This window comes from Homo sapiens, chromosome 2 (genome assembly GCF_000001405.40).
Source record: "Homo sapiens chromosome 2, GRCh38.p14 Primary Assembly".
Taxonomy (NCBI): Eukaryota; Metazoa; Chordata; class Mammalia; order Primates; family Hominidae; genus Homo; species Homo sapiens.
The window spans coordinates 197,169,757-197,186,153 of NC_000002.12; the positions used below are offsets into that span (position 1 = coordinate 197,169,757).

The window sequence follows — 16,397 nt, forward strand, 5'->3', positions numbered from 1 at the left end:
TCCAGGATTCTGATACACACTCAAGTTAGAGAACCACTGCCACAGACTATTCCAGAGACTCTAATTCTAGAGCAGTATGTCTCGAGGTATATTCCACTGGCTCTGAGGGATCATCCCAGCTGTTAAAAATTTTTTAAAAAAAAGAGGGAGGAGGCCAGGTACGTGGTTCATGCCTGTAATCCAAGCACTTTGGCAGGCCATGGCTGATGGATCTCTTGAGTCCAGGAGTTCAAGACTAGCCTGGGCAACATGGCAAAACCCCATCTCTACAAAAAATACAAAAATTAGCTGGGCATGGTGGTGTGTGCCTGTAGTCCCAGCTACCTGGGGGGCTGAGGTGAGAGGTTTGTAGGAACCGAGGAAGTTGAGGCTGCAGTGAGCCATGATTATTCCACTGCACTCCAGCCTGGGCGATAGAACAAGACCCTGTTTCCAAAAAAAAAAAAAAAAAAAAAAAACTGGGAGGCATTCAAAGCCAAATGACATTGAGAAACACGGTGTTCAAGAAAGTTAAACAGATTCCCTTATGGCAGGAATTCTCAGAACCTTTAATATGACAGTTACCTTGTAAATCACTAAAATACAAGGAAATTTGTGGTAGAAGTGCTTCCCAAGTTTACTTGGCCACAAAACTCCCTTTCTTTCCCTCCTAAACACTTGTCAGACTTGTTCTGGACTCTGAGAAACACACTTTGGAAAATGCTGTCATAATGTAGTCTTCCCTAGAGAAAATCTTTCTAACACCATTCCAATTCATTGTGCCTAGAGCAATATTAATAATGACTGAGTCACTGGCAGCAACTTCTTTAAGCTTTGTGCATCTTTATCTTTCTTAGACTTGAAAATAAATGCTTAATGCTAAACACATTTTCATATGTCTTTTTAATATCAGTAAAAAGATCAGATTTTTGTTAAAGTCTGAAATGTTCATGAAGGCAAATATGGAAGGGTAGAAACTGGTGGCAATTTCAAGTTGAATTAAAATGAGATGCAGAGTTTAGAGTCTCTTTCCTGTATTAGAGTAGGCAGCAGTGAGATTCTCTATTTAAATTGTGAAAGTTTCTTTAATGAGCATCAGAGAAGCGGCTTCATGTTTGGGGCACTGGAAGAGCCTTAGTTTTCTCCCCTAGTTGATGGGGCCGGGGGTGGTGGAGATTCCCTGATGATGGAGTGGCAAACTGTGCAGGTAAATTATTGGTCCCAGCTGACAATCAGTACTTGAGAAGGCTGAGGCAGCTTAGAAATAGGAAGTTAAAATATTCATGCCAAGCATCCAGCGTTTGTTTAATCAGGGCTAATGATTAGTTTCTTAATGAAATTTTACAAGCTCAGTTGAACACAGAAAACATTTGCTTCTCTAAAAGCAAACAGGTCTGTTTCTATTATAATCAGACATCTGAACCACAGAAGACCCCCAGCCCTTAGGAGTACAGAGGTGAATCTGTTCAGGAACTTCCGAGTTTTCTTTGAAGATGATAGTGGCCAAAGAGTGATGGGAGAAGGAAGCTGGCGATCAACAAGATTTGAAACTGCAGGATCTAATGCCACAGACCCTGACATAAACTTTGGGCAGTTGTGCTAAACACAGCAGCTCTCAAGTAGAGGGACAGATGATCAAAGGAGCTAATATAGTCAGTGGTTATGCTAGAATGTCTGTTTGGGAGGGCTTTGGAGTGACAGTCTAACTGGAACTACTTTTACATTTCTGGCAGGCTGTTCTTACTTAGGTTATATGAGAAAATTAAATAAAATGAAATTTAAAATTCAGTGAAACAGGAGAAGGAAGGATGATTAGGGAGAACAAAAGGGATTTTTAGATCAGTGAAACTATTCTGTATGATATTATAATGGTGGATGTAAGATATGCACTTGTCAAAACCCACAGACTGTACAACACCAAGACAGAATTCTCATGTAAACTATGGACTTTGGGTGATCGTCAAGTGTCGGTTTGTCATGATGATGTTCATCGATTGTAACAAATGTGCCACTCTTGGGTGGGATGTTAATAGCGGGAGGAAGCCAACCATGTGTAGGGGCAGGTGGTATAGGGGAAGTCTCTTAACTCTGCTTAATTTTGCTGTGAACCTAAAACTGCTATAAAAACTTTAAGCCTTCTTTTAGAAATTCAATTAAAAGGTTTCAAAAGATGTTTTAAGTCATATTTAGTATAAGATGGAGAAAACAATTGCCTAAGTCAAAAATTACTCCCATTATTATTACCATGTCCGTTATTTTTCTTCTTTTTTTTTTTTTTTTTTGAGATAATGTCTCACTCTTGTCTCCCAGGCTGGAGTGCAGTGGCATGATCTTGGCTCACTGCAACCTCCACCTCCCAGCGTCAAGTAATTCTCCTGCCTCAGCCTTCCAAATAGCTGGGATTACAGGTGCCCACCACCACACTCGACTAACTTTTGCATTTTTAGTAGAGAGGGGGGCTTCACCATATTGGCCAGGCTGGTCTAGAACTCCTGACCTCAAGTGATCCACCCAACTTGGCCTCCCAAAGTGTTGGGATTACAGGTGTGAGCCACCACGCCCGGCCCCATTATTATTCTTAATAGCTTGAAGAAAGTGGTTGATAAAGGTGGTAGGTAAGCTGAAAAGCTCTCCCGCCACCACCAAATCCCCCTACCCATGTACTTCCTGACACTGTTGAGTGTAGGAGTCTAGTGCTGTAAGAGCCCTGGCTACACCAGGAACGTGCAGTGATGGAACATTTCTACCTCTATTGCAGTACTGACGTTTCCTCTGTGATCTTGGCTTACATGTCTGTCTCACTCACCTGATTGTATGATCCAGCAGGGCAGGAACCCTGTCCTATTCATCTTATTTTGTTTGTTTGAGACAGAATCTCACTCTGTCGCCCAGGCTGGGGTGCAGTCACAACCTCCATCTCCCAAGGTCAAGCAATTCTTATGCCTCAGCCTCCCAAGTAACTGGGGTTACAGGTGCCCACGACCACACCCAGCTAATTTTTTGTATTTTTAGTAGAGACAGGGTTTCACCATGTTGCTTAGGCTGGTTTCACACTCCTCAGCTCAAGTGATCCGCCCACCTTGGCCTCCCAAACTGTTGGGATTACAGGCTTGAGCCACCACACCTGACCAACTGTCCTATTCATCTTATAGTCCCAACCCCTAGCACAGCACCAGGAACACGGTAGATGCTCAATAACTGTCTGCTGATTGAATAGAAGTGAAACAGCCAAGGTTAAATAGATAATTTAGCTGTCTGCCCTATATGTTTTAAAATTGTTTTTCCATACTCAAGTTTAATAAAGTTTGAGGAAATATGCTAACCAAATTTATTAGTTTGCATTAAAAAGACCTGTTTTGAAATTGTTAAATGGCTAAAGTCTGACTGTATCTTTAGAAACAAGATATTCATAGTACAGCCCCAACAATTTCTATAAGCAAAATGCAAAACAGGATCAATCATGTGATCTTTCTAGAAAAGTTTCACACTGAGCCCTAGACTACTAAGTCATTATTCAAAATTATGGGTGGTAAAATCTTCCTTAACTTTTTCAGTGACACCTACAATTATATCACAAAATATTCAAAACCCTTTCTAAATAAAACTTTGTCCTCTAGCAAGTATTCTTTTAATAGGAAGCTCACAAAGAGGATATTTAAATGTGTCCTAAAGAAAACCCAGGCACTGCAGTAATTCTGTACCTATATTTGAAGTCGAGTTGTCATGTTATAGCAAAAACAGACTTCCCTGACATTTAGAATCTTGTCAAAAGCCAAGTTCTGAATATTACTTTAGGGCACCTTGACACATTTGTTCTCTAGTTTCCCTGCTTGAGAGAAAAACTATCAAGGTTTTCTAATATGGGAGACCTATATATTGAAATGTATCATTTCTGAGGGAAATCTATTTTTAAGGTACCGAGAACAAAGTCAAAAGTCCTTGAAAAAGAGATTTTTATAATTAAATGGATTCAATGGTGCCAAGTAAAATTCATTCCCTAAAAATACAACTTACAGCCCGGGTGTGGTGGCTCACACCTGTAATCCAAACACTTTGGGAAGCCGAGGTGGGTGGATCACCTGAGGTCAGGAGTTCAAGACCAGCCTGGCCAACATGGTGAAACCCCATCTCTACTAACAATACAAAAATTAGCCGGGCATGGTAGCACATGTCTGTAATCTCAGCTACTCGGGAGGCTGAGGCAGGAGAATCACTTGAACTCAGGAGGCAGAGGTTGCAGTGAGCTGAGATTGCGCTACTGCACTCCAGCCTGGGTGACAGAGTGAGACTTAGTCTCAAAAATAAATAAATAAATAAACAAACAAACAACTTACAATGGTGTTATTTTTACAAACAGTACAGTCCTTATGAAAATTCTTACATGGTTCTCTTGCTATCCCATTTTTCTAAGGTATATGACTTAATAAGTTTTTAAATTTTTTTAATGGTGGTAAAATACACATAACATAAAATTTACCATCTTAATCATTTTTTCTAACTCATGTTTATTATTTGTACAATCGTTAGCACAGGTCAGAATCAGAGAGCCTAGGACAAAAGGAGGTTGATAGAGCCATGATTAAAAAGCTGTAACTAAGAATGGATCCACTGTGATAAAAGCCTACAAGGAATATCATAGGAATATGAAATATATGAAGTAAATGCTCATGTATCCACATAGATGAATCTGGAACATATAATGTTGAGTGAGAAAAAGCAAGTTACAGACCATACAAACTGTTCACATATGTAACGTTTTTAAAGATACACAACACTGTTTATTGTTCTAGCATTTATGTATATATGTGCACATAAAGGTATTGATAAAATTAGAGTATATAAAGACAAGGATAAAACTTCAGGACAGTGGTTCCCCCTGGGGAGAGAGGCGGGGAGGGAGGTGATGTGTCAGGGAGATTAAAAGAGGCTTCAGCTCTGTTCATGCGTTCCTAGCCAGTGCTGGCACCACTGTAGGTGCAGGTGACTCAACCATAAGCAAAGCCATGATGAGCTCATGGAGCTGAACAGTTAGTGGAGAAAGACAGAAGACAAACAAATAAATTCACTACATATGTCAGGTGGTGAGAAGTGCTAGGAAGGAGAAGTTAGAGGTTGATTAAGGGTTGCTATTTTACATGGGAAGATCAGGGGAGGTGTCCCAGATAAGGAGGCATTCATGCAAAAACATGAATGACACAAGGGTGTGAGTCTATGTTTACATATGGAACAAACCTTTAAGTCTATAAAATTTTATGATGGTTCTTTTAAAGTAAATATGGCAAAGTGTTAACATTTATTCTTAGTGGTGGGCTCTTGTTGTTTTTTGAAAGTTTGAAAATTTTCATAATAAAAAAAGATTTTTTTAAACGCACTGTCTATTACTGAAAGATGAGGAGGCAGGATGTCAGACATCTCTGGATCTTTTCCAAATGAAATATCTTGAGCCTGTGACTGGAGGTCCTATTTCTTTAAGTGTTCTTACATATTGGGACTTCCTGAGAAAAGCCGGTAATGGGCAATACTTCCCAACCATTAGGTTATGCATGCTTGTTTGCCTATCTGTCCATCTTTGCTTCCCAAATAAAACGCATGCCTGCTCAAACATGGAGTGTCCCCTGCTTGAAAGAGACAAGGTCAGAAGATGAAGAGTCAATCCTGCATGTGTGTTTTCAGTAGGAGAAAAGGCATATATGAAAAGCAAGTGAGGATGCAAGGTATAAATCAACATGAAGCACTGATGACAAAAGACAGATGCTGGAGGGAAAAACACACAGTGTCGGTACCACTGAGCTGAAGAGCCACCATTTAGTATGTACTAGTGTCACCCTTCTCCCTCCCTCCCCCAAAGAAAGGGACATGGTATCATGTTCTGTTCCCAGGTGCTCAAAGCAGAAAAAAGTTGCAGCAATGTGATTCCTTCAATGCTTTTTGGAGTTAACATAAATTGACCAAGAAAGTACACAATGAAGTATTCAGGGTGTCAGCTCTAGTGCTACATCTGTAAGAAGTATTTTAAAAATATTTGGTGAATGAATGAATGTAACTGAGGTTATTCATGACAGTATTACATAAATGATACATATTTCTGTACTCAGAGCATTTCCTAGGTCACAAAAGGCTATTACATACCATGGCAGAGACTGCTGTTTTACCCCAACATCTCTCTTGCTTTCATAATAGGAACCCTGATTTTTAGGTTCCTAAAAGTACATCACCACCTAATGCAGTTCCGGACAATATATAAGCAATTGTGTCCTTAGTGGAAGTGTCCTTAAAGAGGGAGGGCATACCCTTCTTCTGCCTTCTTCCTTCCCACTAGTTGGAATTTGGATGTGATGGCTGGGGCTCAAGTGGCCATTTTGAGCAAGGAGATAGAAGCCATCTACCAAGGATGGCAGCACAAAAGGAAACAAAGATTGGACTGTGACACCATGGAGTGTCATGCTAGTCCTGGACAGCCTATCTCTGGACTTGCACATGGGAAATAAATAAACTTCTATCTTATTCAAAACTTCGAAATTTTAGTAAACTACATGTCTACTTTACTGAAAACTACGGTTTTGCTGTTTTTGTTGTTTCTCTGTTGAATGCAGCCAAATCTTACCCTAACTGATATACATACATCATCTCATCTCCCTAACCACACCTTATAAAGTTTATTATGATGCCCACATTATAGAACTGAGGCCAGAGGAGGTTAATTGGCTTGCTCAAGGACCCATAGAACCCAAGACTTCTATCTTCAAGCCAAGCCCAGTGCTCTCTATACTCATAGTTGTATTTTGGTGTGACTGATATGGATTATTTACCAATAAATGAAATATATTAAGTGAGGACATAGCAGCTTGGCTGTAAAGGAATTATATCAGCAACTCTGGACATGAGCTTGTAGGAGTAGGGAAAACCAGAAAGAGGTTTAGAAAGGGGAACTGAGAGATTAGGAAAAGACAGCCTGTGTTACATGCAGAAAGACTTTAGAAAGTACAAAGTGAGAAACCCATTTATACTATCCTACACTGCCAGAAATAGCCTTCTGAGCAGACAGTTGGCAAGTGACCCGGGTATAACCAGCTATGCAACCTCCTGGTAAAAAATCTTACCTACCTCTCCAACCCCCTAGGCTTCTTACCCTAACTGAATACCATATACACATTTCAGGTCTTTTAAAGTCAGTGTTTCAAGGGTATAATAATAATAATAATAATACATCTACAAACTTACAGTTGGAAGGCCCTCTGGCTGTCATAATCATATAGTTATTTAACATTTGAAACCTAAAGCAATAGGTCCTTGGTAAAAATCAGGGCCGGCACAATTAGTTGATCTAAAATATACTTTATATCCTTTTCATTTAAACATGTCTTTTAAGAATAATCTGGGTATGTGGTTACCTCTGCCCATTCACTTTTGAAACGTAAGAGTTATTACTTTTCCAAAAAGCTTCTTAAAATTTTTCTGATTACGTTTTTTCATTGTAAAAGAAATTGGAAAGTAAAAGGTATCTGAAAAGTTTTAATTGATTTTTAGCTTGAGCAAAACTAATAATCCATTTTCCATAATTTATTATATAAAATGTGATGATGGTAGAAGAAAGAAAAGAATTCTACTAAGATGGCAACAGGTCCCACCAACACCACTTCCTCAGGGTCCAGCTAATCCCATGAGAAGAGCCCTTGCAATATGTAAAAGATGGGAGCGCCATTATGCTTGTCACCGTGAGTAGTAAGTACCACGCCACTGAAATGTGCTCTACACTTATTCAAACTGACAAATACAATGAACACATTTTAAAAGTCAAATCTTTATAGTAAAGCAATTTGGGAAGCTAGTTTGCTTTCTCGTGAGTTTGTGTGTGTGTTTGTGTGTGTGTGTGTATATATTTATATAAATTTTTTACCATTTCTAAATATAATACATGGTCAGTGTAAAAAAACTTTAATAATACATAAAGAAATAAAGAAAAAGGCAAAAATCCCACCACCAAGATTCAGCTATAATTAATGTTTTGGAGAATATTCTTCTAGATTTCTTCTTCTATACCCACAAATACACATGATATCTGCTGTTTAACAACTGTTTCACTCAAAAATATATCTTGAAGAGCTTACCTTTCAATATGTAATAAATACATATGCAGATAAATACAAAGCACACTTTTTAAAGATAACATGATACAACCTCATGTGGATGTTCTGCAATAAATTTAAGAAATAACCTATTGGTTGTTTGCAATTTCTGGTTATTATAAACCAGATAGCAACAAACATCTTTTTGTATATATAGTTAACCAATTATTTCTCTTAGGGTGAATCCCCCACAGTTAGAATGTTGATGCATACTGCCAAACTGCCCTCCAAAGGGTAGTACAAATTACTCTCCCCAAAAAGGCATCAGAGTGGTTGGGATTTGATTTTCATCTTTGCCAACTGGAGGGTCAAGAATGACACCACGCTGAGCACAGTGGCTCACACCTATAATTCCAGCACTTTCTTTGGGAGGCCAAAACAGGAGGATAACTTGAGGCCAGAAGTTTGAGACGAGCCTGGGCAACACAGCGAGAACTTGTCTCTACAAAAAGTTAAAAAATTAGCAGGGCATGGTGGCACACTCCTGTAGTCCCAGCTACTTGGGAAGCTGAGGCAGGAGGACTGCTTGAGACCAGGAGTTCAAGGCTGCAGTGAGCTATGGTCATGCCACTGCACTCCAGCCTGGGAAACAGAGTGAAACCCTGTCTCTAAAAAAAAAAAATTTTAACTAAAAAAAAAGAATGACAGTATATCATTGTTTTATTTGAATCCTTAGATGCCATGTGAGGTTGAGAAAAAGATAAATAACCAAATAAAGAAATGGGCAAAGGACATGCAGAGGCCACTCACCAAAGAAAAAATGCAAATAGCCAAAAAATATATTAGATGTTTACTTGATTGACAAAGGTAACCACCTTTTCCATTATTTTTATCTTTTCTATTATGCTTAGAAAGTCCTTCCCCATACCAAGATTGCAGAAATATTTTCCCCTTTTTGTATTCCGCTGTTTTCATCTTTTTATTTTCTACATCTTGAATTTACCTTGGTATAAGAAATTAGGTAAGGATTCAGCTTTACATATTTACATCTATCTAGCAGTTGTCTCAATGCCATTTATTAAATAATCCATTCCAGCCCCAGTGATTTAAAATGCTTCCTTTGGCTGAGTGCAGTGGCTCACGCCTGTAATCCCAAAACTTTGGGAGGCTGAGGCAGGAGGATCACTTGAGCCCAGGAGTTTGAGGCTGCAGTGAGCTATAACCACACCACCGCACTCCAATCTGAGTGACAGAGAGAGACCCTGACTCTTAAAAAAAAAATGCATCCTTTATCCTATACCAAATGTCCATATATAGTTGCTTCTAATCCTGGACTTTCTAGTCTGTTCTACTACTTTGTCTATTCCTGTGCCATTAACATACTGTTTTGATTGCTATCGTTTTGTAATTTGTTTTAATATATTTTATGAAACCCTCCCCTCATCAGTTTTCTTTTTCAAGAGTTTCCTAGCTAGTCTCACATGTTTATTCTTCTAGATAAAGTTTAGAATTATTTTGTCAAGTTTCCCCACTCAACTCCTACCACCAAATCGCCCTGAATTTATACATTAATTTCAAACAATTACCATCTTAAGTATTGTCTTCTTTCTACCTAATAATGTGCCTTATTTATTCACAATTACATCCTCTGTCCAAATGCGTATCTAATATGAAGAAAGGGCCATATCCTTTATGTTTACATGCTCAAACTACTTACAAAGTACATTTTTAATTCTTATATTTTTCTTTGTACTACAAAAATGTCCAGTAATTGCAAAATAATACTAATGCCATACACTTGAAATGTTTCTCCATAGCTCCAAAACATCCATCTCTAGTATGTGAGGGTACAAATCATATACCATTATAAGATTTGTCTCTCTTTTGGAGGCTGGGTGTCTGGCCTCCATGTCCAGTGCTGGAGAGCTCAGGCCTCAAGCTGCTGAGCATCCTCCATAGGATAATTAGTGATGATGCAAACCAGACCTGCCTTTGCACATTTTAAATGGCCGTGAAGCCACATCTTTGAAGCCTGCTCAGTGCTGCCTGGAGTTCATAAATCATTCTTTACAGGGTATAGGTCAGGGCTTCCAAACTACAGCCCCACATCCTGGGCAGGGGTCCAACAAGGGGGGCGTGGATGAGAGTGGATGGGGAGTGTGACAATATTGTCAGGCATGTGCTGAGAGATGGGCACCTACCCTCAAGACAAAAAGCACCATTCTCAGATCTGTGAAAAAACCATCAGCTTTCCTCCACCTCCCCCACCCCGGCCCCTAATCAGCGAGCCAGAAACAGTGTCAACGTTTAAAGTGCAGGCCACTGCTCTTCCCAGAACACTGGGGCCCTTGGCTTCGCAACCATGGCATTTACTTTCCAGATGCATGTGGCCAGAGAAACCTTCATCACTGAATATTTGCTGATCTCATCCACAGTTAGCAAAACGGTGACCTGCAGGCCGGATTTGGCCCACGGATGTGTTTTCTTTGGCCTGCACATTGTTAGGTCATCTTTTGGAACCGACATTTAACAATTTAGAGATTTCCTGTATTTTCTCTTAAAAGTCTGAAAAGCCTGGGCCACACTGCACCTGCATTCCTGCAGGGTGCTTGATGAGAGCTGAGCCATTCATCACTCGTGATCACTGTGCACTTCTATCATTTATGGGACCTGAGTGTGCCACCGCCATTCCCTGCAGCCTCCTTACTCCCAGTGGTTTCTGATTCAGGTCTTGTTTAGAAGGTGCCCAAGTCTCTAAGCCGGCAAAACATCTCAGTCCTTCATCTTCATATCAAATTATTTATTAAAAAGAAAAAAAATCAAGTAGGATATATGTAGGTGAGAAAAATACATAAAAATCTAGAAGTTTAAAAAGCTGGGCTACATAGTTTGTATTTCTAATGTTTAAGAGTCTTAGACATAATATAATCAAGCAGAGAAAAACTTAGAGAAAAACTTAAAGAAGATATTAAATTGATCATCCCAAGTTCTTTGAGTGGAGCCATATTGAGTCCTTCTGGGTGGATTTTTAAAATATACTCTATTTTAAAAGAAATAGTGCAACACTTCAACATACACATACACATGCATACATATTACAAGCTTGCTATTGTAAATGTGCCTTATTTCTTTGAAAAGTCCCCTCATCATATAGTGTCTATTTTTTTTCTCACTTGGCTCTTGAGATTCAATAATTAATCCATCTGAATTAATTCCTGTAGTCAAGAATGGCAGCTGTAATAGGTTTCTCTCTTGTTTACTATACATTCCTTAGCAACATAAGCTTAGCTTGCACCTCCAGATTTATTCCATTGTATTCACAAAGCATCCCATTTTGGAACTGGAGAGAGTAAGCAAAATACACCAATCTACTTGGGTCAAATCCTATTAGAGCAAATAATAAGTGTTAACAGCTTTACAAAAAAAATTTTTTATAAAGTAGATGGATTAAAATGATCAACTTGGGGACAATTCAACTGAAAAAAGGATATTTTTGAAACTACTGAAAACAAAATAAAATGGAGGATGCACTGGATATTAAATGATATTGAGGCATCGTTGTTAATTCTATTTGGTATGATAATGTGTGTTTCTATTAATGATACTTTAAAAAACGAAATAAACATCATGGATTTGCTATCATGTGAGACTCACAACCCTTGGGACTATAATCTTTCACAGTTGTAAGAGACTTTAAACATTACCTCGTCCAGGCATGGAGAGGAAGTTTCAATTTACGTGCACTTCAATTTCATAGTACTATCCTGAGAAGAAATTTTAGTCTCTAAGACTCAAAGGAAAAAAAGTGCCATGAACCATTAGCAATGTTGGCCAGGGTCACAAGATAGGAGAATGGGGCCATATGTGCTACCATATTAGTCACCTTTCAAACTTCCAGTCTAGCGGTCTTTCAGGGAGCTTACTTCTTGCCAATTCGACTCATTGCTTCTCTAGACAGCTCTGTCTATTAAGTTAATTCTTATCTTTTGAGCTAACATCTTATTTTCTATAGCTTACAACCACATGACATAATGACAAGCCTAGTCTAGTTCCGTTTTAATTTGACAGTGTTAACTTAAACTATTTGGGGCCATTCTCTTGTCCTCTCCAAGTGTGAAACATCACCAGTTTCTTCAACCACTCTTCACATAGCATGGTTCCCTCCCCATCATCATCATTCACCACTGACAGGCGTCACTTTGTCTCTGTCCCTGTTCCAGTAGGACACAGTAAAAGTGTCCTCTTGACATCACATTGTCATAACATAATCCTCAAAATGCCTTTATTGAATTCAAATTTTGGTTTATAAAATCTCTGCCTTCCAAATTTTGAAATCAGATGCTATTCTCCATCTTGAGCTCAGTTTGGTTAGTCAGGTGGAGGCTTCTAAAATCTTTCTAGCTATCTGCCAAATCTGCGTCGATTTAAATAGATTTCTCAGAGTGTACAATGATCATCCCATATTTCCAGGCCCTGGTATGCCATTAACCACAGAAACCATAAAAAGACTCAGTGTGCCCCTCCTGACCCTTCAGTGGCTCCTCAATTCAATCTACAGATTTTCAATCTTACAAGGAGAATTTCCAGTCTTACAAATGATACCTGAGGGAAACTAACTAAGCTGGATGCTTCCTCTATTCAACAATTTATCCTCATTGGGAGAAATGAACTATAAGCTACCAAAAACTGGCTCAGCATAAGCAATAAAGTAGGGTTGAGTCATTCAGTCAAATGTGCTGCAAGGACTGGACTAGGCGATTGAGCAGATGACAGTGAATAAGATAGTGACCATGTCATCAAGCATATACAGTTTTCCCTCAGTATATGTGGGACATTGGTTCCAGGACCCCCACATACACTACAATCTGCACATATTCAAGTCCCTGAGTTGGGCCTGCAGATCCCAAATATATGAAAAGTCAGCCCTCCCTGTATGCAGGTTTCAGATCCCACGAATGTTGTATTTTCATCCTGCCTTTGGTTGGAAAAAAATCTGCATATAAGTGACCTGCCAAGTTCAAAGCTGTGTTGTTCAAGGGTCAGCTACAGTTTTAAGCAGTAGTCAACAGTGATTAATGCAGTACAAAGAGCTGTGGGAGTTGAGGGTAGAAGTAGGTTTCTTTGGCTGGGTTGAGAAGGTGGTAGAGAAGAGAGCAGAAAGGAAGTGAGAAGTAGGACAACTTAATGGAGGAAGTAGTAGGTATGGAAGGACACATGGAATTGGAAGGGTGGAGAAGTGAGAAAAGGGTGAGAGAATAGAATAAATCTCAATGAGTCAAGTCATGTGGTTAGTGGGGCACAGAGTTTATAAATACTATTGGGGGAAATAAAGTCTGGAAAAACACAGAGGCCAAGCTGAATAAGATGGCTTTCTATATCAGGATCAGTTAATGAATGGGTGATTTACACCAGAGAACATGTGACCCATCAAAAAGCGTGGAGAGGTGAGGGCAGGGAAAGGTGAAAAACTCAGAACCTAGGACAGAAAAGCATAATTAAGTGAATAAATGAGGGGAAAGAAAGAAAAGCAAGGGGTAAGAAGACAAATATGGCCTTCCAAGTTAGTGAGTAGTGGCTCCTGCACTATTTATTTTCCTTCCTTGACATTTAAATACATGGTTATCAGCCCCTTTTCCCCTTTGAAATGCACCTCCAGGCTTAGCTCTCCAATCCTTATGTGTCCTCCATCTGTCTATGCCTTTTCTTAACAACCACTTCTCTTAAACTACCTAATCCACCCCCAGCAAAAATAGTCACTATGACTCATCCCCAAGGGCATTGGCAAAAGAAAACCATGACAAGAGGACATGCTGGATAAGTGTGGGGTCAAATGATCTTTGTACACACCTGAAGGAGCAGAAAGGGGGAGTTAAAGGGAGAGTCTAAAGAGGGGTGAGTAGAACAAAAGGGCCTGTGGATCCCAAAAAGTGGTAACATCAACCTAAGAACTCAGGCCCTCCTTGTGTTCTTTATCCATTCATTCATTCATTCATTCAACCACTCTTGTGTTCATTTCTCTCCCTCCCTCCATCCCCTGCTTATCTGTTGCCACACACCCAACAGCCCACAAAGGCAAAGCAAATTCCTATATATCTCTCAAGCCTCAGGTTACACATCACTTTATCAGGTCCTCATGATTAACCTTCTCCCTACATAGCATCCCGGATTTTTTCTTTCAAAACTGCATCACAGTGTAATTTCTCATTTGTTGACTTCTCTGCTATGTTGTAAGCTCTATCATGGAAAGGGTGCCATCTCACTGCTGTGTCCCTAGCACTGAGCACACAGTCTCAACTCAATACATAACTATGGATGAATAAGACATCTCCCAGACAAATAAGTGGCATCACTAGAATTCTCTAAGACCAAAAATTGGTGTGGCCAAGATTGCTAACTACTCACTAAAATCCATGCCGTCTCTTTGGGGGCACACAGATACACTAATTCCTTACTCTCCCTCGTAGCTAGGTATGGCCATGGCTAAATTCTGGTCCATGGAATATAAGTGGAAGTGATGTATGCTAATTCCAAGCTGACCCATAAAAATCCTTCCATGGTGGCCGGGCGCAGTAGCTCACGCCTGTAATCTCAGCACTTTGGGAGGCCGAGGCAGGCAGATCACCTGAGGTGAGGAGTTCAAGACCAGCCTGGCCAACATGGTGAAACCCTGTCTCTACTAAAATATAAAAATTAGCTGGGCATGATGGCGGGTGCCTGTAATCCCAGCTACTTGGGAGGCTGAGACAGGAGAATCGCTTGACCCGGGAGATGGTGGTTGCAGTGAGCCGAGATCACGCCACTGCACTCCAGCCTGGGCAGCTGAGCGAGACTCCATCTCAAAAAAAAAAAAAAAAAAAAAAATCCTTCCATGCTTTTCCTCCATGCTCTTTTTCCCTTTGGGGTGGCAGGACTGCACACAACCCCTGTGGTGATCTTAGAGGCCACATGTTGCTACCTGGGATCCTGTTTGGAAAAGGACCACCCCTCTAATATGTTCATAAAGAGACCTAAACTTCATACATCATACATCCATCATACATTTAGGGGTCTATGTGTAACAGTAGTTAACCTATCTAATTCAGTGATAAGTTACAACTGAAGTTAGGCTCCCCTAACCTTTACCAGCTAGCAACTGTTTTGTCACTTTCCCAAAAAGAAATGAAGGCCATTCAGGGGCCAGTACAAACTTTTTTGGTATGTATGACAGAACAAAAGTTCCATTTGCTCATGATCATTAGGAAAATATAGTAACCATGGCTTGGGCTTCCCTGGGCTTGGGCCACAGCCACAAAACAGGCTGGGTGGATTCCCGTGATGTCAGAACACTGGAAAGGGAGCTTGCTGGCCTGGCCTTGGCTCAGAAGCACAGGTCGCAACCCGCAGGCCCTGGACAAATGCCCAACTGCCTTCTGGAGTAGCCTGTCCCTGGCCTCATCTGTGCTTACCTTGCAAAAATGTCACAAACCATTGTCCTGTTGTGCTTAGTGCCAGCTGGGGAGAAGCTGCCAAAAGCTTTTGCAAAAGCCACACCAACCTGCACTGCCATGGAACAATGGCTACACCAAATGACTCGCCTTCTGAATAAAGCATTCAGCCGACCAGACAGACGTAATCCACCTCCCTGTGGCAAAGCTCCTCTTACACTGAAGATGTAGTTGACAACTTCTGTTTCTACTTAACACTAGAGACTTTAAAGAGAACTCCTCTCCCTGGTGGACTTCAGTATTTCACAATTGAATTACATTAAGAGAATTAGTAGCATGTACTGTACATAATTGCTTGTTCAACTCAAATCTAGGAAACTACTAAAAGGGTAAATCATTGACTAAATCATTTTACCTTTCTTTATTGAAGGTTTGTTTTTTTGTGTCAGGACCTTCCAGATACAGTGATTCTTAATCTTTTGGGAGTCAGATACCTTTTTAAGAACTTGATGAAATAGTTTGATTCATTTCACACAAAATATGTATATAGTGCACATATCTACTGCCTGTGACTTCAGAGGGCACACAGGATGCCTAGTTCACCCACTGATCCCAGACCCAGAGTCATGAACCTTTTAGGGCAAGGGTCAGCAAACTTTCCCTAAAAAAACAGATAGTAAATATCTTTGGCTTTGTGAGCCACTTATAGTCTGTTTCACAACTACCCAATTCTGCTGTTGCAGTGCAAAAGTAGCCACAGATAATACATAAATGAATGAGTATGGCCGTGTTCCAACAAAACTGTATTTATGAACACCAAATTTGAATTTCAGGTCATTTTCATGTGTCACAAAATATTATTCTTCTCTTGATTTTTTTCTCAACACTTGAAAAATAAAAACCATTTTTAGCAGGAGGCCTGCAGAAA

At 39.9% G+C, this 16,397-nt stretch overlaps 1 protein-coding gene across 20 annotated transcripts in view; it reads right to left on the reverse strand.

Moving 5' to 3' along the window:
* ANKRD44 (ankyrin repeat domain 44) overlaps nt 1–16,397 on the reverse strand; it is a 343,767-nt gene that overhangs the window by 202,743 nt on the left and 124,627 nt on the right. The window lies entirely within an intron of this gene.